This window comes from Homo sapiens, chromosome 12 (genome assembly GCF_000001405.40).
Source record: "Homo sapiens chromosome 12, GRCh38.p14 Primary Assembly".
Lineage (NCBI taxonomy): Eukaryota > Metazoa > Chordata > Mammalia > Primates > Hominidae > Homo > Homo sapiens.
In genome coordinates, this window is record NC_000012.12 from 57,959,149 (window position 1) to 57,983,494 (window position 24,346).

The 24,346-nt window shown below is 35.6% G+C and overlaps 2 pseudogenes; one reads left to right on the top strand and one right to left on the bottom strand.

Annotated features, from left to right (window-relative positions):
* LOC100533641 (zinc finger protein 100 pseudogene) lies at positions 7,917-9,583 on the top strand (annotated as a pseudogene).
* RN7SKP65 (RN7SK pseudogene 65) lies at positions 18,890-19,114 on the bottom strand (annotated as a pseudogene).

Below are 24,346 nucleotides of genomic sequence, written 5' to 3' on the forward strand. Positions count from 1 at the left end.
GAAGACAAGGTCTTCAAATTAACCCAATCCAAAAAAGACAAAGAAAAAAGAATAAGAAAATATGAACAAAGCTTCCAAGAAGTCTAGGATTATGTTAAGTGACCAAAACTAAGAATAATCAGTGTTCCTGAGGAAGAAGAGAATTCTAAAAGCTTGGAAGACATATATGGGGGAAATAATCAAGGAAAACTTCTCTGGCCTTGCGAGAGACCTAGACATTCAAATACAAGAAGCACAAAGAACACCTGGGAAATTCATCACAAAAAGATCATTGTTTAAGTACATTGTCACTAGGTTATCCAAAGTTAAGATGAAGGAAAGAATCTTAAGAGCTGTGAGACAGAAGCACCAGGTAACCTATAAAGGAAAACCTATCAGATTAACAACAGATTTCTCAGCAGAAACCCTACAAGCCAGAAGGGATTGGGGCCCTATCTTCAGCCTCCTCAAACAAAACAATTATCAGCCAAGGATTTTGTATCCAGTGAAACAAAGCATCATATATGAAGGAAAGATACAGTCTTTTTTCAGACAAATAAGTGCTGGGAGAATTCACCACTACCAAGCCACCACCACAAGAACTGCTTAAAAGGAGCTCTAAATCTTGAAACAAATCCTGGAAATGCAACACATCAAAACAGAACCTCTTTAAAGCATAAATCACACAGGATCTGTAAAACGAAAATACAAATTAAAAAGCAAAAGTAAAAAACCAAAATACAGAGGCAACAAAGAGCATGATGAATGCAATGATACCTCACATTTCAATTATAACATTGAATGTAAATGGCCTAAATGCTCCACCTAAAAGAAATAGAACCACAGAATGGATAAAAACTCACCAACCAACTATCTGCTGCCTTCAGGAGACTCACCTAACACATAAGAACTCACATAAACTTAAACTAAAGGGGTGGAATAAAGCATTTGATGCAAACGGACACCAAAAGTGAGCAGGGGTGGCTATTCTTACATCAGACAAAACAAACTTTAAAACAACAGCAGTTAAAAGAGACAAAGAGGGACATTACATAATGGTAAAAGGCCATGTCCAACAGGAAAATATTACTGTCCTAAACATATATGCATCTAACACTGGAGCTTCCAAATTTATAAAACAATTACTAATAGACCTAAGAAATGAGAGACAGCAACACAACAAGAGTGGGGGACTTCAGTACTCCACTGACAGCATTAGACAGGTCATCAAGACAGAAAGTCAACAAAGAAACAAGGGATTTAAACTATAACTTGGAACAAATGGACTTAACCGATATATACAGAACATTTCATGCAACAACCACAGAATACACGTTCTATTCAACAGTGCATGGAACTTTCTCCAAGGTAGACCTTAGGATAGGCCATAAAATGAGCCTCAATAAATTTAAGAAAATCAAAATTATATCAAGCACTCTCTCTGACCACAGTGGAATAAAACTGGAAATCAACTCCAAAAGGAACCATCAAAACCATGCAAATACATGGAAATTAAATAACTTGCTCCTGAATGAGTATTGGGTCAAGAACGAAATCAAGATGGAAATTAAAAAATTCTTTGAACTGAATGATAATAATGACACAACCTACCAAACCCCTGGGATAAAGCAAAGGTGGTGCTAGGAGGAAGGTTCATAGCCCTAAATGCTGATATCAAAAAGACTAAAAGAGCACAAACTGACATTCTAAGGTCACACCTCAAGGAACTAGAGAAACAAGAACAAACCAAACCCAAACCCAGTAGAAGAAAGAAGTAACCAAGATCAGAGCAGAACTAAAGGAAATTGAAACAGCAATAACAACAACAAAAATACAAAAGATAAATGAAACAAAAAGCTGGTTCTTTGATAAGATAAGTAAAATTGATGGACTATTAGCAAGATTAACTGAGAAAATAAGAAAGAAAATCCAAATAATTTCACTAATAAACAAAACAGGAGATATTACAACTGACACCACTGAAATACAAAGGATCATTCAAAGCTACTGTGAACACCTTTATGCACATAAACTGGAAAACCTAGAAGAGATGGATAAATTCTTGGAAAAACACAATCCTCCTAGCTTAAACCAGGAAGAATTAGATACCCTGAACAGACTAATAACAAGCAGCGAGATTGAAATGGTAATTAAAAAATTACCAACAAAAAAAGTCCCGGACCAGATGGATTCACAGCAGAATTCTACCAGACATTCAAAGAAGAATTGATACCAATCGTTTTGACACTATTCCACAAGATAGAGAAAGAAGAAACCCTTCCTAATTCATTCTATGAAGCCAGCATCACCCTAATACCAAAATCAGGGCAGGACATAACCATAAAAGAAAACTACAGACCAATATCCTTGAAGAACATAGATGCTAAAATCATTAACAAAATACTAGCTAACTGAATTCAACAACATATCAAAAAGATAATCCACCATGATTAAGTGGGCTTCATACCAAGGATGCAGGGATGGTTTAACATACACAGTTCAATAAATGTGATACACCACACAAACAATTAAAAACAAAAATCATGTGATCATCTCAATAGATGCAGAAAAAGCATTCAACAAAATCCAGCATTGCTTTATGATTAAAACTCTCAGCAAAATGGGCAGACAAGGGACAGGTATGTCCCTTGTAATAAAAGCCATCTATGATAGACCCACAGCCAACATAATACTGAGTGGGGAAAAGTTGAAAGCATTCCCTCTGAGAACTGGAACAAGACAAGGATGCCCACTCTCACCACTCCTCTTCAACATAGTACTGGAAGTCCAAGCCAGAGCAATCAGACAAGAGAAAGAAATAAAGGGCATCCAAATTGGTAAAGGGAAAGTCAAACTGTCACTGTTTGCTGGTGATATGATTGTTTACCTTGAAAACTCCAAAGACTCCTCCAGAAAGCTCTTAGAACAGATAAAAGAATTCAGCAAAGTTTCTGGATACAAGATTAATGTACACAAATCAGTAGCTCTTCTATATACCAACAGCAACCAAGCAGAGGATGAAGTAAAGAACTCAGCCCCTTTTACAATAGCTGGGGAAAAAAAAAAAAAAAAAGGAATATATCTAACCAAGGAGTCAAAATAGCTCTACAGGGAAACTACAAAACACTGCTGAAAGAAATCATAGATGATACAAACAAATGGAAACATCCCATGCTCACGAATGGGTAGAATCAATATTGTGAACATGACCGTACTGCCAAAAGCAATCTACAAATTCAATGCAATCCCCATCAAAATACCACCATCATTCTTCACAGAATTAGGAAAAGCAATTCTAAAATTCATATGGAACCAAAAAAGAGCCTGCATAGCCAAAGCAAGACTAAGCAAAAAGAACAAATCTGGAGGCATCACACTACCTGATTTCAAACTATATTATAAGGCCATAGTCACCAAAACAGCATGGTACTGGTACTGGTATAAATAGGCACATAGACCAATAGAATAGAATAGAGAACCTAGAAATAAACCCAAATACTTACAGCCAACTGATCTTTGACAAAGCAAACAACATTAAGTGGGGAAAGGACACCCTTTTCAACAAATGGTGCTGGCAGAATTGGATAGCCACATGTAGGAGAATGAAGCTGGATCCTCATCTCTCACCTTATACCAAAATCAACTCAAGATGGATGAAGGACTTAAACCTAAGACCTGAAACTATTAAAATTCTAGAAGATAACATTGGAAAAATTCTAGACATTGGCTTAGGCAAGGATTTCACGACCAAGAACCCAAAAACAAATACGACAAAAACAAAGATAAATAGCTGGGACCTAATTAAACTAAAGAGCTTTTGCATGGCAAAAGGAACAGTCAGCAGACTAAACACAACCTACAGAGTGGGAGAAAATATTCACAGTCTATACATCTGACAAAGGACTAATATCCAGAATCTACAATGAACACAAACAAATCAGTAAGAAGAAAACAATCCCATCAAAAAGTGGGCTAAGGACATGAATAGAAAATTCTCAAAAGAAGATATACAAATTGCCAACAAACATATGAAAAAACGCTCAACATCATTAATGATCAGGGAAATGCAAATCAAAACCACAATGCAGTACCACCATACTCCTGCAAGAATGGCCATAATAAAAAAGTCAAATAACAGTAGATGTTGGCGTGGATGCGGTGATCAGGGAACACTTCTACACTGCTGGTGGGAATGTAAAGTAAAGTATACAGCCACTATGGAAAACAGTGTGGATATTTCTTAAAGAACTAAAAGTAGAACTTCCATTTGATCCAGCAATCCCACTACTGGGTATCTACCCAGAGGAAAAGAAGTCATTATTCAAAAAAGACACTTGCACACATATGTTTATAGGAGCACAATTCACAATTGCAAAATTGTGGAACCAAGCCAAATGCCCATCAATCAACGAGTGGATAAAGAAACTGTTATATATATATATGATGGAATACTACTCAGCCATAAAAAGGAATGAATTATCAGCATGTGCAGTGACCTGGATGAGACTGGAGACTATTATTCTAAGTGAAGTAACTCAGGAATGGAAACCCAAACATCATATGTTCTCACTGATATGTGGGAGCTAAGCTATGAGGACACAAAGGCATAAGAATAATTCAATGGACTTCGGGGACTTGTGGGGAAGAAGAGGAGGAGGGCCGAGGAATAAAAGACTAAAAATATGGTGCAGTGTATACTGTTCGGGAGATGGGTGTGCCAAAATCTCACAAATCACCACTAAAGAACTTACTCATGTAACCAAATACCACCTGTACCCCAATAATTATGGAAAAAAAAATTAAGCAAACTAAAACCATAACAGAAAAAAGGCAGTGCATTAAATTCATAATACAATCCAATTTAATTTTTATATATTTATAATATTTTTCATATAATCATTCTCAAATCTTTTTTAGGCACCATATCTGAATTTTGGATCCAGAAAGCATGGTCATTGTATCTATACCCCTTAACACAGGCATTACCTGCATCTTCTACCTGCTCTTAGCAGCTGCATCTTTAACCCGCTCCTAGCAAACATCATTTGGCCTATGTCTAGATTGATAGGTGATGATGCCTATGTGTAGATGTGACTGATTAGAGGTTTAAAGACTGAAGCTAGCAGGATTCATTCTCTTGAGTTAAAATTTTATTAAATATAAATTATAAAGTAATACCTGAAGCCTTGTCAAACATTTAAAACAAAATTTGAGGATTCTGGGAAGATAATGGAGAAGGAAGCACCAGAAATCTGTCTTCCCACTTAGGTAAAAATTATAGTAGTAGAACCTCTCTGATGTAACTGTTTTGGAACTCTGGGTCTATTGAAGGCTTGCAACGTCCAGGGAAAAGCTTGGATATTAAATTGTGGTTCATTTTGGTCAATTTTAGTTCTTAGCACAGTAGCAGCTACCCATCCCCCATCCCCTATCCTTGTGGCAGGTGGGTGTGCACATGTTCCTGGAGCAGCTTGCATGCAGGTTGTGGGAGCCAGGGTGGATAAAAAAAGACTCTGTCCTCCAAATAGTGGAGATCTGTGCTTTGATTGCTAATTGCTGCTTCTGATTACAGAGGTTCAGAGGTGGACATTGTGGTTTCACCTCCCTCCATTGTTGCAAGCTCCCCCTACCCTCTGGCTGAAGTGACTTCCTGGTTATTTAAAAGGCTGGTGCCTTTTTGTTTTTCCTGTGCTCTTCATTTTTCTCTTTTCCCCCCTTTGGGAGCCAGACACTGAAGACTATGACATTCAAAAGTAACCTCATATACAAGAGAAATTAGAAAGTTACAGTACATGTGCAGGGGAAGGTGCAAGCTCTGAAAACACCCTAATTTTATACCTCAGACTGATCCTCAGCACAGGGATAGCTTACAAAAAAAATAAAAACACAAAACAGCAAACCCTGGAGAGAGAGTATCTGACTTTTAGACTTACCAGATTATTAGATTAAAATGTACAGTTTTCAACAAAAATCACAAGAGATAGAAACAGGAAATTGTGGCCCATTCTATGGAAAAAAGCAAACAAACAGAAACTGTCCCTGAAAAAGACCTGTTGGCAGATTTACTAGACAAAAACTTTAAAATAATTGTCTTAAAGATGCTCAAAGACCACACGATCCAGCCATCTCACTCTTAAGTATATCCCCAAAAGAAAGGAAATTAGTATATCAAGTGATATCTGTACGCTCACATTTATTGTAGCACTATTCACAATAGCCAAGATTTGGAAGCAACCTACACAATGGAGTACATTCAGCCATATAAAAGAATGAGATCCTGTCATTTGCAGCAACATGGGTGAAACTGGAGGTCATTATGTTAAGTGAAATAAGCCAAACTTTGCATGTTCTCACCCATGGGAGCTAAACATTAAAACAATTGAACTCATGGAGATAGCAGAATGATAGTTACCAGAGGCTAGGAAGGGTAGTGGGGTGGGGGTGGGGGCATGAGGGTAAGGGAGGGGAAATTGGGGATGGCTAATGGGTACAAAAAAATAGAATGAACAAGACAGTATTTGCTAGCACAACAGGGTGACTGTAGTAAAAAGTAATTTAATTGTACATTTAAAAATAACTAAAAGTGTATAATTGGATTGTTCATATCACAAAGTGAGGGACTGAGGGGCTAAATTGTCTGGACTTCCTGGGTCAATAGGGACGTCCCTAAGGGGACTTTCCCCTAAGCCAAAATGAGTCACAGCTGCAAGCTAAGGGATTGAACTTCAACCAGTCACATAGGGAGTTTAAGCTCTAGCTGCAGCCTGATGTTTTTAACCAATCAGGCCTGCCAACCCGCAAGCAGATTGAAAAATAAGCTAATTCTATAGGACAGAAAAAGGAAAAGAGGAGGGGTTATAAGGGGATATAAGCATAAGATACCCAAGCGAAAAACGGCAACTCTTCCGTGTCCCCTTCCACCGTGTGGAAGCTTTACTTTTGCTTTACTTTCACTTTCACTTTAATAAATCTTGCTGCTGCACACTCTTGGGGTCCGTGCGTTTCTCTAATCAAGTTGTAACACTCACTGCTGCAGTCCATGGCTTCATTCCTTGAAGCCCTTGAGACCACGAACCATTCAATCTAGAAAAACCTTAGATTGGAAGAAGACTTCTTGTCTCAAAAGGATAAATGCTTGAGGTGGGGGATACCCTGTTTATCCAGATGTGATTATTATGCATTGCATGCCTGTATCAAAATGTCTCATGTATCCCATAAATACACCTAATGTGTTCCCACAAAAATTAAAAATAAAAATTTAATTAAAAAAGAACTAGCAAAAGATGCTCAAAGAACTAAAGGAAGACATGGAGAAAGTTAAGAAAACTATGTAGAAACAAAATAGGAATATTAAGAGAAAACCTAGAAAGGAAAAAGAAATTCTGAAGCTGAAAAGTTCAATAATTGAAATAAGAAATTTACTAGAGGGATTCAAAGGCAGATTTGAGCAAGCAGAAGAAAATCAGCAAACTCAAAGATAGGACAATGGAAATTAGCAAGTCTGAGGAACAGAAAGGAAAAAGATTGAAGAAAAGTAAGCACAGCCTAGGAGTCCCATGGGACAATATCAAGCAGACCAATATATACATTGTAGGAGTTCCAGCAGAAGAGAGAAAGGGGCAGAGAGAATATTGGAAGAAATAATGGCTGAAAACTTTTCAAGTTTGATAAAAGACATGAATATAAACATCCAAGAAGCTCAACAAACTCCAAGTATGATGAACTCAAAGATAGCCACATTGAGACATATTATAATCAAACTGTCAAAAGACAAACACAGGCCTTTGTCTCTCACTGCAGCCAGAGCTCCCAGTCTTGTGTTTACTTCTCTGTTTCTTCTGCTTCTAGAGGCCCAGCCTCTGTGGCCCTGTGACCTGCAGGTATTGGGAGATCCACTGCTAAGATGCCAGGACCCCCTGGAAGCCTAGAAATGAGATCATTGACATTTAGGGAGGTGGCCATAGAATTATCTCTGGAGGAATGGCAATGCCTGGACACTGCACAGCAGAATTTATATAGGAATGTGATGTTAGGGAACTACAGAAACCTGGTCTTCCTGAGTATATTGCTGTCTCTAAGCCAGACCTGATCACCTGTCTGGAGGAAAAAAAAAAAGAAAAAAAGCCCTGGAATATGAAGAGACATGAAATGGTAGCCAAACCCCCAGTTTTATGTTTTTCTTTTGCCCAAGACCTTTGGCCAGAGTAGGACACGGAAGTTTTTTTTCCAAAAAGTTATACTGAGAAGATATGGAAAATGTGAACATTAGAATTTACAGTTAAGAAAAGTTATAAAAGTGTGGATGAGTGTAAGGTGCACAAAAAAGGTCATAATGGACTTAACCAGTGTTTGACAACTAATGAGAGCAAAATATTTAAATGTGATAAATGTGTGAAAGTTTTTTTATAAATTTTCAAATTCAAATAGACATAAGATAAGACATACTAGAAAGGAATCTTTCAAATGTGTGTCAAACATTTTGCATGCTTTCACACCTAATTCAACATAAAAGAATTTACACTAAAGACAATTCCTACAAATGTAAAGAATGTGGCAAAGCCTTTAACTGGTCCTCAGGCCTTACTAAACATAAGATAATTCATATTGGAGAGAAACCCTACAAATGTGAAGAATGTGGCGAAGTTTTTTAACCAGTCCTCGCACCTTACTATTCATAAGACAATTCATACTGGAAAGAAACCCTACAAATGTGAAGAGTGTGGCCAATTTTTTAACTGGTCCTCACACCTTACTATACATAAGTAATTCATATGGGAGAGAAACCCTACAAACGTGAAGAATGTGGCAAAGGCTGTTAACCAATTCTCAAACCTTACTAAACATAAGAAAATTTATACTAAAGAGAAAACCTCCAAGTGTGAAGAATGTGGCAAATCCTTCAGTGAATCCTCAATTCTTAAGAGACGCAAGATAATTCATACTGGAGAGAAATTCTACAAACCTGAAAGATGTGACAATGCTTTTGGCAACACTTCAAACTTTTCTAAACATAAAATAAATCATACTGATGAGAAATCCTAGAAATGTGAAGAACGTGACAAGCCTTTAAATGGTTGTCACACTTGATTATAGGTCGGATAATTCATAGTGGAGAAAACTCCTACAAATGTGAAAAATGTGGCAAAACTTTTAACCAATCCTCACACCTTATTGCACAGAAAAGCATTTATACTTGAGAAAAAATTAACAAACAAAAAGAATGTAAAAAAGCCATTAATATCTGTTCACATCTTACTATCAGAGAGTTCATACTTAGTGAAAGCATTGTAAGTGCAATTACTGTCAAAAATGTTTTTCAGAAAATATAAGCTTTTAAAGTGAAGAAAACTATGTATTTTGAAGACAACATTATAGATATAAAGAAGGTTGTAGCACCTTTACTTGTATCACAGATCTTATTGTACACATTTTTACTACAAGAAGAGCCTGAAGCAGTTGCTTAAACTTTGTTCAACATCAAAGAATTTATATTGAAGAAAAACCCGGCAAATGTAATAAATTTGGAAAAACATTTTTTTAATAACTACAGCTTAAAAAATACCAGAGAGTTTATACTAAAATATAATTTTGCAGATGCAGTAAACTATGTAAATATCAGAGAATTCAGAGTAGAAATAACTAAGGCACCAACACTTCAGACATTACACTAAATCAGAGTACTGAGTAGAGAAAATAATCCAAAACCAAAGCTGGTAGACAAATTATTTGTATATAATGAAAAAGGAGTAGAAGATTTTTTGAAGAGTTATAATTATGTTTAAAGTATACTTTTTTTGAAAAATCTGCTACTTTAAAAAAAAATTCAATAATGATATAATTCAACTCTAAAATTACTTCATGCTGTTTCTTCATTCCTATTGTGTTTACATGTGAAAGCATGTGATAAATTGTTTCTGCATTAAAGACATGACAGATTCTTTTTTATTAGGTGGACATTATTTATGACCTTTTCTATGGAGGAGTAATGACATTAAAATGTAAAATGCATGATGAATATCTTAAAAAGGCTCTTTGTGGTTATTTTGTGATACATTAGGTAGGTGTTCAGAGTAATATTCTTCTGCATTATCATGAGAGAAAAACATTCTTAATTCTAGTTAAAATTATATTAAAGTTAATTAAATTATTAGTATATTATTTTACTAATTGTACTTTTATGTAATAAAATGCAGTACATACAAAAAGACAAATACAGAGAGAATTCTGAAAGCAGCAAGAGAAAATTGACTTGTTGCATACAAAGGCTGATCTTCAATAAGATTGTTAGCATATTTATCATCAGAAACTTTTAACAGAGCAGAGTAGACTGATATATTTAAAGTGCTAAAAGAATAAAACTGGTAACCAAGAATCCTATATCTGGTAAAACTGCCCTTCAAAAGTGAGTAAGAAATTAAGACACTCCCAGATAAACAAAAGCAGAGGCAGTTCACTACCATTAGATCTGTCCTGCAAGAAATGCTAAAAGAGTCCTGCAGGTTGAAATCATGACTAGATAGTAACATGAAACCGTATGAAGAAATAAAGATTTCAGTTAAGGTAAACACATAGGCAATTATAAAAGCCACTATTATTGTAACGATGTGTAATTTTACCTTTGCTTTCTACGTGATTTGAGACTAATACATTAAAAAAACAATGATTACTCTAAAAGTATTATTGTAATTTGGTTTGTAACTCCATATTTTGTTTCCTACATAATTTAAGAGACTAACACATTAAAAATTTGTATGTTTTTGGACCCACACTATTAAAGATGTAATTTTGCAGCATCAACAATGGAAAGGGATGGGGATAGAGCTGTTAAAGAAGTAGAGTTTCTATATGTTATTAAAGTTAATCTAGTATAAATTCAAATTAGAGTGTTATAACTTTATGATGTTAAATGTTATCTGCATGGTAACCACAGAAAAAATAGCTAAATAATGTACACAAAAGGAAATGAGAAAGGAATTTAAAGATTTCACTACAAAAATGAACTGAACAGAAAAGAAGATAGTAATGCATGAAATGAGGCAACAAAAGCTATAAGGCATATAGAAAGCAAATAGCAAATTGATAGAAATCCCTCCTTATGAGCAATTACTTTAAATGTAAATGAGTTAAACTCTCCAAGCCATAAGGATTTAACTATATGCTGCTTACAAGAGACTCATCTTGGATCCAAAGACACAAAAAGATTGAAAGCAAAAGGATAGAAAAGGTTATTCCGTGCAAATAGTAATTAAAAGAGAGCAGGGGCGACTACACTAATATCAGACAAAAAAAAAATCTTACTCGAGACAAGGACAGTGTATATCAATAAAAAGGTTCAATGCAGCAAGAAGATATAACAATTATAAGCATTTATACAACTAATGACAAAGTATAAGAAGCAAAAATTGACAGACTCAAAGGGAGAAATAGTTCTGCAATAATAGTTGGAAACATCAATATTTCCCCTCTGAATAATGGATAGACCAGCCAGCCAGATGATAAGAGTGATATGTGTATATATGTGTGTATATATATATATATATATATATATGTATATATGTATGTGTATATATATATATCTTATCATCTGGCTGGCTGGTCTATCCATTATATATATACATATATACATATATATGTGTATATATATATGTGTGTGTGTATATATATGTGTGTGTGTGTATATATATGTGTGTGTGTGTATATATATGTGTGTATATATATGTGTGTGTGTATATATATATGTGTAGGTGTGTATATATGTGTGTGTGTGTGTGCCATATATATATATATATATATATATATATATATAAAATCTTTGATCTTTTCAAAGAAACAAATTTTAATTTCATGAAGTATATATATATATGTATATACATCACCATCACTGGCCATCAGAGAAATGCAAATCAAAACCACAATGAGATACCATCTCAAACCAGTTAGAATGGCAATCATTAAAAAGTCAGGAAACAACAGGTGCTGGAGAGGATATGGAGAAATAGGAACACTTTTACACTGTTGGTGGGACTGTAAACTAGTTCAACCCTTGTGGAAGTCAGTGTGGCCATTCCTCAGGGATCTAGAACTAGAAATACCATTTGACCCAGCCATCCCATTACTGGGTATATACCCAAAGGACTATAAATCATGCTGCTATAAAGACACATGCACACGTATGTTTATTGCGGCACTATTCACAATAGCAAAGACTTGGAACCAACCCAAATGTCCAACAATGATAGACTGGATTGAGAAAATGTGGCACATATACACCATGGAATACTATGCAGCCATAAAAAATGATGAGTTCATGTCCTTTGTAGGGACATGGATGAAATTGGAAATCATCATTCTCAGTAAACTATCGCAAGAACAAAAAACCAAACACCGCATATTCTCACTCATAGGTGGGAATTGAACAATGAGAACACATGGACACAGGAAGGGGAACATCACACTCTGGGGACTGTTGTGGGGTGGGGGGAGGGGGGAGGGATAGATTTAGGAGATATACCTAATGCTAAATGACGAGTTAATGGGTGCAGCACACCAGCATGGCACACGTATACATATGTAACTAACCTGCATATTGTGCACATGTACCCTAAAACTTAAAGTATAATAATAATAAAATAAAATAAAAAAAGAAACTGTAGACCAATGTTCCTTATGAACATCGATGCAAAAAACCTCAACAAAATACTAGCAAACTAATCCCAGCAGCATAATAAATGGATTAGAAACATGACCAAGTGGGATGCATTCTTGGAATACAAGAATGCCTTAACATATGAAAATTCACCATTATAATACATAACATTAACAGAATAAAGGAAAAGAAACACATCATCATTTCAATTATTGCAGAAAAGGCATATGACAAAATTCAACACACTTTCATGATAAAAACACTCAACATGCTAGGAATAGAGAGAAACTACTTTAACATAATAGAAGCCTTAATGAAAACTCATACAGAACATCATAATCAATGGTAAAAGACTGAAAGTGTTTCCTCTAAGATCAAAAACAAGGTAAGGATGCCCACTTTTACTACTTCTATTCAATATAGTGCTAGAAGTTTTAGCCAGAGCAATTAGGTAAGACAAAAGCATCTAATGAAAGGCATCCTAATCAGAAAGGAATAATTAAAATTGTTTATGCTCACAAATGATATTTATCTTCTATTGTCTTGTATTTCTGCTCACAGATAATATGAAAACCTTAAAGATTCTACAAAGAAACTATTAGAACAAATAAATAAATTCAGCAAAGTAGTAGGATACAAAGTTAACATACAAAAAGCTGCACTTTTATAAATTAATAATAAACAGTCTGGGCTGGGCACACTGTGGCTCACACCTATAATCCAAGCACTTTGGGAGGCTGAGATGGGTGGATCACTTAATCTCAGGAGTTCAAGACCAGCCTCGGCAACATGGTGAAACCCTGTCTGTACAAAAAATTACTAAAATTAGCAGGGTATGGTGGTGTGTGCCAGTAATCCCAACTACCCGAGAGGATGAGGTGGGAACATTGGTTGGGCTGCAGTAAGCCATGATCACGTCATTGCACTCCAGCCTGGAAAACAGAGTGAGACTCTGTCTCAAAAAACCCCAAAAACCAGTCTGAAAAGGAGATTAAGTAAATAATTCAATTTAAAATAGTATCAACAAGAATAAATTATTTAGGAATTAAACAAGAAGGTAAAAGACTTGTGAAAAAACAATGAAAACTACAAAATATTTCTGAGAGAAATTAGAGAAGATGTAAATAAATGGAAAGACACCATGCTCATGGGTTGGCAAACTTAATAACATTAAGATGTCAATACTGCCCAAAGTGTTGTACGTATTTAATGCAATCCCTTACATAATTCCAATTTTTTTTGCAGAAATAGAAAAACTCATTCTAAAATTAATATGGCATGGTGGCTCATACCTGTAATCTCTACACTTTGGGAGGCTGAGGCAGAAGGATTGCTTCAGCTCTGGAGGTCGAGGCTGCAGTGAGCCAAGATCGCACCATTGCACTCCAGCCTCAGCAACAGAGTGAGAGTTTGTCTCAAAAAAAAAAAATTAAAATAAAATGAACGTGGAATCTCAAGGGACCAAAATAGCCAAAACAACCCTGTAAAAGAACAAAGCTGGAGGACTCCCACTTCCTGATTTCAAAACTTACCACAAAGCTACAGTAATCAAAACAGTGTGGTGGTGGCATAAAGACACATATACAGATCAATGAAACAGACTAGGGAGTTCAGGAATATATCTTCACTTACATGGTCAAATGATTTTCAACAGTGTGCCAAGACTCTTCAATTGAGGAAAAAACAGTCTTTTCAACCAGTGGTATTGGAAATACTGGATGTCCACATCCAAAAGAATAGTGTTGGATCCTTAGCTAACACCATATACAAAATTAACTCCAAATTGATCTGCTACCTAAATACAAGAGCTAAAATTATGAAATTCTTAGAGGAAAACATAGGGGAAGTGCTTCATGAAATTGGATTTGGCAATGATTGCTTGGATATGAAACCAAAAGCATAAGGAAACAAGAGAAAAAACAGGCAAATTGGACTTCATGAAAAAGACAACCCACAGAATGGGAGAAAATATTTGCTAATCATGTATCCAATATGAGATTAATGGCCAGAATATATAGATAACCCTTAAGACTCAAGAAGAAAATGCCAAACAACCTGATTCAAAAATGGGCAAAGGACTTGAATAGACATTTCTCCAAAGAAGATATACAAATGACCAATAAGCACATGAAAAGATGCTCAACATCACTAATCATTAGGGAAATGCAAGCAAATTAAAACTATGAGATACCACCTCATACTTACTAGGATGGCTACTACCAAAATAGTAGTACAAACAGAAAATAAGTGTTGAAAAGGACGTGGAGAAATTGGAGCCCTTGTGGATGGTTGGTGGGAATGTAAAATGATACAACTGCTATAGAAAACAGCATAGTGGTTTCCCAAAGAGTTAAAAATAGTTTTATCTGAAAGTCTTAATAAAGAAAAAAAGAGAAAGAAAAAAGTTAAAAGTAGAATTACCATATGATCCTGAAATTCCACTTCTGGGTGTTACTCACAAGAATTGAAAGTGGGATCTCAAAGACATATTTGTGCACCATGTTCACAGCAGCAGCATTCACAATAGCTAAAACATGGAGGCAACTCAAGTGTCCATTGATGCATGCATGGATAAGCAAAATGTGGTATATCCACACAATGGAATATTATTTATGTATAAAAAGGAAGGAAATTCTGACACATGCTATGACATAGATGAACCTTGAAGTCTTTATACTGAGTAAAATAATCCAGACAAAAAAGGACAAATATTTTATGATTCCATTTATATGAGGTACTTACAGTAGTCAAAATATTAGATACAGAAGGTGGTTCAGAGCTTGGGAGAGAAGAGAATGGGGAGTTATTGTTTAATGGGTATGAGGTTTTAATTTTAAAAGATGAAAAGAGTTCTGGAGATGGAGGGTGCTGGTGGTTACACAAGAGTATGAATGTACTTAATACCACTGAACTGTACACTTAAAAATAGTTAAGATAGTAAGTTGACTTGCTATCTCCTCCTCATACTCCAGGTTTCAGTTTAAATGTTACTTTTTCTGGACATTTTTTCTTGAGCCTCCAACCTGGGTCTCAACACAGGTTATATATCCTCAAATATATGCTGTATTACATACCCCAGATCACCCTGCACTTCCTCCTTGATGAAGCTGTTCCCCATGGTGACAAAGACTCAGCTCATGTTGGTCCTTCCTGTATCCCTGGTGCCTACATCAGCACATAGTAGACAGTGAGTGTTTAATAAATACTTATTGAATGGGTACAATGTCTATTTTTTCTTCAGATTGAGTCCCTTTTCATGCAGTGGTTGGGAGAATGAATGGGAGCTGTAGTTTCCTAGTGAGCCCTGATCTGAGTCCAGCCACCTTGACTCTTCTGAGGCTCCTCAGGGCTTCCTACTAATAGGTGGCCCCATTAGTGGGCTGCCTGGTATGGCTTTGACCCTACAGATCCAGATTTGGAGTGTGCGTGTCACTTTGACCTTTGCTCTGGGACTCTGAAGCATTATGTTAGGAGAGTGTTTTTGGCTCATTGTAATTTCCCCCCCCTCGTATTTGATCACTTTGGTTATGAGGTAGCATGAATGCAGTTAGCACTCAGAGAAGCTGCCACTTGCCACTTAGGGCATCACACAATTTTTGTTTTCCTTCTAACTTAACATCTGTACCTGTTGAATAAACAGTGTTGTTCAATAAAACTGCAGATATTCTACTTGGTAATTTCTATAGAACCAAATTCAGCTCTTGGGGACTGTAACACTCGCATTGCAAAAGTTAGAAGTAGAAATCAGCAGGGAAGAGAAAGAAGAAAGAGAATAATGAAAGAAAAATGCAGGCTTATTAGCAGAATGCTTGGCTCTTGCTTCTCGAATATTTTAAATTCAGAAAAAAGTTAAAAAATTCAAGTGCAATCTTATCATTAATATAAATTAACATTTATTAATTATACACTTAGGGCATTTCTCTGAAGTGAGTTTAATGAACAAATAACTAGGTTTGGTAATATCTTGGCTGAATATCACTATCCTCTTGAGAAGGTGAATAGTTGAAATAGCATGGTCTGATTGCTACAGACTAACATTATTCTGTTTCATTCTCCACTCTGCTCTTCCTTCTCCCAAGGGCACAAATGAACAAAACAATGGTTTCTTAATTGTTTAGCACTCAATTTTCTGCCTAGCAAAAACTGTGCGGTTATGCCAGTTCTCATACAGTTTTAGTTAAAATAGAAGATTATTGCAATTAGAATTCAGTGCATATTAACCTTTAATTCATTTCTACCAGTTTAAACAAACTCTATTGTAGAAAATTTCAAACATTTACGAAGCAAACCAAGAATAATAAATATCCTTGCACCCATGACTCAGGTTTGACAATTATCAACATTCTGCCCTTTTGTTTAATCTATACTTTCAGCCACTATCCACATCACATTCATTTTTTAAAGGTAAATTTCACCTCTAGTGAGATACCCAAATAATAACTATACAATTTGGACAATATGTACATTTGTGTAACCCACATCATAAAATTTAGAACACCCCATCACCCCAGAAAGTTCCTTCCTCTTTTTTCTCAGTTTCCCTCTTTCCCACCATCCAGCTAACCACTCTTCTAAGTTTTTTTCACCATAGATTGGTTTTTCCTGTTCTAGAATTTCATACACATGGAATCATTAAATATATTTTCTTTTGTATCAGGTTTCTTTTGCCCAGCATGTCTGTGAGTTTCATTGCTATTATTGCATTTATTATTAATTCATTCTCTTTTTATTGCTAAGACATGTCCCATGGTATGAATATAAAACAGTTTGCTTATTCATCCTCCTGTTTATATATAATGGGTTGTTTTTAGTTTTAGGTGTTGTAAATAAGGCTGTTAAGAACATTCTTGTACAAGTCTTTTTGTGGATATGTTTTCCTTTCCACAAATAAGTAAAATACCTATGATAGAATAGCAGAGTCAAAAGATATATGTATATTTAACTTTAAATGAAACAGAAACCTTTTCCCAAAGTGGTTGTGTTATTTCAGATTCCTACCAGTAGTGTATGTGAGTTCTATTTTCTCTTATATTCTAACAAATATTGTCAGTTGTCTTTTTAATTTTAGTCATTCTAGTAGGTGTGTAGTGGTTTCTTATTGTAGTTTCAATTTCCACTTCTTTGATAACTAATGATATTAAACAATTTTGTTGTGTTTATCAGACAATTTTAAATTTTAAAATAAATTTCCTTTGTAAAAGTGTCTGTTCAAATATTTTGCCCATTTTTTCTTCGATTGTTTTTCTTTTTACTATTGAGTTATAAAAAGCCTTTGTATTTTCACTTAAAAGTTTTTTTAATCAGATAAATGTTTCATGAATATTTTCTTCCAGTCTGTGGCTTGCCTATTCATGTTCTTAACATTTTCAATGAGCAGAGTTCTTTAATTTTGAAGTTTAATTTACCAATTAAAAACATTTTGTGGTTATTGCTTTCCGTGTCCTAACAAATTTTTGTCTACTCCTAGTTGTGAAAATAGTCTTTTACATTTTATTCTAAGAGCTTTATAGTTTTAGCTTTTATATTTGAGTCTATAATATTTATATGAAATTCATTTTTGTTTATGGTGTGAAGTAAGAGTTCAGGTTTACTCTTTTTCTTATAGCTGTCCAGATGTTCTAGAACCATTTGCTGAAAATACTTTCCTCATTGAATTGCTTTGGTGTCTGTTGCAAATCAATGGACTATGTATGTGTGGGTCTATTTCCAGATTTTATATTTGGTTCTACTGATCTATTTATTTATGTTTAAGCCAGTAATACACTGTCTTGGTTACTTTATAGTAAGTCTTAAGGTCAGAAGTGTAAGTCCTTCAGCTTTGTTTTTCTTTTACAAGGTTGTTTTGACCATTCTAGGTCTTCTGCATTTCTATACACATTTTAGAATCAGCTTGTCAATTTCTATGAAAAAGCCTGCTGAGATTTATGAATGGGATTGCACTGAAGCTATAGATCAATTAGGGGAAAATTCTCAACAGTATCAAGTCTTCCAAATTATGAACACTCAAATTAATGGACATAGAATATGTCTCAATTTATTTAAATCTTCCTTTTTTTTTTTTAGCAATTTTAAATATTTTTCTTTTTTCTTGTTTATTTATTTAAGACGGAGTCTTGCTCTGTTGCCCAGTTTGGAATGTGGCAGTACAATCACAGCTCACTGTAACCATGAACTCTTGGGCTCAAGTGATCCTCTTGCCTCAGCCTCTTGAGTGGGTGGGAGAGAGGTGTATGCCACCACAACTGGCTAATTAAAAATTTTGTTTTGAGAACTTGTTTGGAGGTTCTAGCAAGGGAGTGCAGCTACTCCTATACCCTTGACCAAAGACTGCAGTCCTCCTCTATCAGGGATGGTCATCCTCTTTGACCGAGTGCACAAAGGGCTAATATACATGGAGCAGTGAGGGAGGAAGGGGACACCCGCCTAGCCAGCCAGATCAGCCAAATCAACCCTGGCCATCAATAGGGTGACAGATGTCACAGCCAGATCAAGTCAGCTTCATCCCTTGGATGTAAGCCTGATTCAACATATGCAAATCAATAAATGTAATCCATCACATAAACAGAACCAATGACAAAAACCACATGATTATCTCAATAGATGCAGAAAAGGCCTACCTTTGAAAAAATTCAGCACCCCTTCATGCTAAAAACTCTCAATAAAATAGGTATTGATGGACTGTATCTCAAAATAATAACAGCTATTTATGACAAACCCACAGCCAATATCACATTGAATGGGCAAAAGCTGGAAGCATTCCCTTTGAAAACTGGCACAAGACAAGGATGCTCTCTCTCACCACTCCTATTCAACATAGTATTGGAAGTTCTGGCCAGAACAATCAGGCAAGAGAAAGAAATAAAGAGAAAGAAACTGGGCAACAGAGCAAGACTCTGTCTTAAATAAATAAACAAGAAAAAAGAAAAATATTAAAAATTGCTTACAAAAGGAAGATTTAAATAAATGGAGACATTCAAACAGGAAAAGAGGAAATCAAATTGTCTTTGTTTGCAGATGACATGATTGTATATTTAGAAAACTCCATCATCTCAGCCCCAAATCTCCTTAAGCTGATAAGCAACTTCAGCAAAGTCTTAGGATACAAAATCAATGTGCAAAAATCAGAAGCATTCCTATACACCAGTAATAGACAAACAGAGAGCCAAATCATGAGTGAACTCCCACTCACAATTTCTACAAAGAGAATAAAATACCTTGGAATACAACTTACAAGGGATGTGAAGGACCTTTTCAAAGAGAACTACAAACTGCTTCTCAAGGAAATAAGAGTGGACACAAACAAATGGAAAAACATTCCATGCTCATGGACAGGAAGAATCAACATCATGAAAATGGCCATACTGTCCAAAGTAATTTATAGATTCAATGCCATCTCCATCAAGCTACCATTGACTTTCTTCACAGAATTGGAGAAAACTACTTTAAATTTCCTATGGAATCAAAAAAGGGCCTGTATAGCCAAGACAATCCTAAGCAAAAAGAACAAAGCTGGAGCCATTGTGCTACCTGACTTCAAACTATACTACGAGGCTCCTACAAGGTTACAGTAACCAACACAGCATGGTACTTGTACCAAAACAGATATATAGACCAATGGAACAGAAGAGAGGCCTCAGAAATAACACCACACATCTACAACCATCTGATCTTTGACAAACCTGGCAAAAACAAGCAATGGGGAAAGATTCCCTGTTTAATAAATGGTGTTGGGAAAACTGGCTAGCCATAGGCAGAAAACTTAAACTGGACCCCTTCCTTACACCTTATACAAAAATTAACTCAAGATGGATTAAAGACTTAATTGAAAGACCTAAAACCATAAAAACCCTAGAAGAAAACCTAGGCAATACCATTCAGGACATAGGCATGGGCAAAGACTTCATGACTAAAACACCAAAAGCAATTACAACAAAAGCCAAAATTGACAAATGGGATCTAATTAAACTAAAGAGCTTCTGCACAGCAAAAGAAACTATCATCAGAGTGAACAGGCAACCTACAGAATGGGAGAAAAATTTTTGCAATCTATCCATCTGACAAAGGGCTAATATCCAGAATCTACAAGGAACTTAAACAAATTTACAAGAAAAAATCAACCCCATCAAAAAGTGGGAGAAAGACATGAACAGACACTTCTCAAAAGAAGACATTTATGTGGCCAATAAACATATGAAAAAAAGCTCATCATCCCTGGTCATTAGAGAAATGCAAATCAAAACCACAATCAGATACTATCTCATGCCAGTTAGAATGGTGATCATTAAAAAGTCAGGAAACAACAGATGCTGGAGAGGATGTGGAGAAATAGGAACGTTTTTACGCTGTTGGTTGGAGTGTAAACTAGTTCAACCATTGTCGAAGACAGTGTGGCTATTCCTCAAGGATCTAGAACCAGAAATACCATTTGACCTAGCAATCCCATTACTGGGTATACACCCAATGGATTATAAGTCATTCTACTATAAAGACACATGCACATGTATGTTTATTGCAGTATTATTCAGAATAGCAAAGACTTGGAACCAACCCAAATGCACATCAATGATAGACTAGATAAAGAAAATGTGGCACATATGCACCATGGAATACTATGCATCCATAAAAAAGGATGAATTCATGTCCTTTGCAGGGACGTGGATGAAGCTGGAAACCATCATTCTCAGCAGACTAACACTGGAACAGAAAACCAAACACCAAATGTTCTCACTCATAGGTGGGAGTTGAACAATGAGAACACAACAGGTAGAGGAACATCACACACCAGGGCCTGTTGGGGAGTAGGGGGCTAGGGGAGGGATAGCATTAGGAGAAATACCTAATGTATATGACGGGTTGATGGGTGCAGCAAACCACCATGGCACGTGTATACCTATGTAACAAACCTGCATGTTCTGCACATGTATCTCAGTCCTTAAAGTATTAAAAAAAAAAATCCACAAAAATTAGCTGGGTGTGGTGGCACATGCCTGTAGTCCCAGCTACTCAGGAGGCTGAGGCAGGAGAATCGCTTGAACCCAGGAGATGGAGGTTGCAGTGAGCAGAGATCACATCACTGCACTTCAGACTGGGTGACAAAGTGAGACTGTGTGAAAAAAAAAAAGGCATTGGCTTTGAGGTGAAATATGAATGCTTAAGGCAGAATACCTCAATACCAGTTTATATTATTAATTCTGGAAAGATTTTAAAGACAATGTTATATGCACTGTTTTCTACAACGTGTCCCTATAAACCATTTTTGAGGGCATTGGAAGATTATGGTGGCTGTTTCCATATTAAAATGTTAATGTCTGAGTCAAGTTGGTGGTTTTTGAACCTGAAAGATCAAATAGTTCTATTTAATTGTATTAACCAAATTGATTTTAAACCAGCGGAATTATTTGCAGTGCTTAAAAAGTCATTATTTTCCATTCAAGTGAGATAAATGGGTCACCTTGGGATTTGCAGCTGGAGTTTTCCTTTATGATAATATATTGGGAACCAAGTCATTTGTCCTAATGACACTCTCAGCAAAGGTTCACCAAACCTGTCTTGATTAATTTTTCAAAAGCACTTGAAGAGATTTACCAATTACACTTTCAGGGGTTGATTTGATCAGCTCCACATGGTTGCACAATCTGCATCTTGCTACTTAAACTCCAACAGACCAAAATGGTTAAAAGAGGTCTGATGGAAATAAACTATGAACTCAATTCTAATGTGGTCTAAACTTGTATGCTTTAAATTACTGCATATTTGGGATGCTGCATATAAAATGATCTAATGCAAATTCTCAAATTCTGAAAAAGTAGTGAGGGAGCAAATATTAATTCCATTTTGCCAGTGAGAGATACTGTGACAGAAAACGATAAAGGAACTGAAGATGGCACACTGAACACCACCACAGGACGATTAATCGTTTTCTTTCATCTCCGCTCCCATCCTTCGTTTCTGTGGCAGTTATCATTACATTCTGGCAGTAATGTGGTGGTAAGTAATCTGCATTTTCAATTCTCACAGACATTATACAGTTCCATTTTGAAACAAATTGCTTTTTCTTTTTTGGTCTCTTCTAAAATCTTTCTTCTCAAAGTATGGTCCTTGGCTTAGCAGCAATGGCATCAACTAGTTGCTAATTAGAAATGCCCAGATTCTGCTAGATCAATCTGTTTCATTCATGTGTATATTAAAATCAAGAAGCACTCTCTGGCCAGGCGCAGTAGCTCACACCTGTAATACTAGCGACTCTGGAGCCTGAGGCAGAAGGATCTCTTGAGGCCAGGAGTTTGAGACCAGCCTGGACAACATAGTGAGACCGTGTTTCTAAAATAAATAAATAAATAAATAAATAAATAAAATTAGCCAGGCATGGTGGTGCACCTAGTCCCAACTACTTGGGAAGTTGATGTGGGAGGATCGCTTGAGGCCAAGAGTTCGGGGCTGCAGTGAACTGTGATTGTGCCACTGTACTCCAGCCTGGGTGACAGAGTGAGAATCTGTCTCAAAAACAAACACACAAAATCCCAAAAAACTTCCACAAGTTCAGCTGTGCAAGCTTGAGAATCACTGCTTTAGCATAATGTTGCATCTGGGTGGCCTCACTTTCAAACTTACCATTCGTAAAACGGAATTTTTATATGCTTTTTATATAGTATGTTTGTTGCTCCATAAAGGAAGTTGAGGAATTCAGGATTGTTCTTACTTAATCCATCCATTAATTAAATAACTCTTCTTTTAAGAACAAATGCTTTTAATCTCATGACTAACAAACCTTGTTATGTCAATTTGTGCATTAAGCATTGTTATGTGAAAACCTACTCAGCGTTTCACAAAATGTGAGGAAAGAAATAGAAAATAAAGAAATGTGTTTGGTTTTAGTCATTATTACGGTAGGATAAACTCTGATTATCATAACAGAAAAGAATTTCAATTATGAAATTCAGAGCACACATGAGAATAGATAAGGTCACTAGGTAAGATACAGGAAATCCAGTTAAATTTGAATTTCAGATCAACTGTAAATATTTTTTTTTTACCTAAGAATTTAGCATTTTTTAGTATAAGTATTTAGTAGAAATAGGTTCCATGAAAGTACCTGGGACATAGTTTTATTTGCTAAATCTGGCAACCCTAAGAAATAAGCCAGGCAAAATGAGGGGTAAATTATTATATTTATAATCATTAAAAATTGGAACCTATATGATATGCTATCAGGCCAGCTACATAAGTTACCTTTTATAGAATATTTTACAATTAAGGAGCAATAATGTATGCTGTGTTCCGTGATTGCAGCTCAATATGAAATCTCTAAGTAATTTTGATCAAGAAATTTCTTTGCGTTGATGTCGAAACACAAGCAATAATAATTTAAAATAATCCCATGCATCCTGATTACCATTCTACTAATTTTATTAATTTATGTGTAAAATGTTGAACCAAAACAATACACTGCAATGTTCTTAAAAGAAGAGGAGAGAGAGAGGAAAAAAAAAGGAGAAAAAGAAAAGCCATACCGAAATTCTGAGCTGTTGGAAAACTCAGCCAGCAGCAGAGGGCACTAATGTATCACTGATGAATTGTGCATCACAAGAGGCTTAAACATTTTTTTTTTTTTGCCTCGCACTAATAAACTTTTATTTCACTCAAATTAGAGCAATAATCTTCCATACATAAGTATTTTCCCTGCCCAATAATTCAAATAAAAAAATCCAAAATGATTAATAA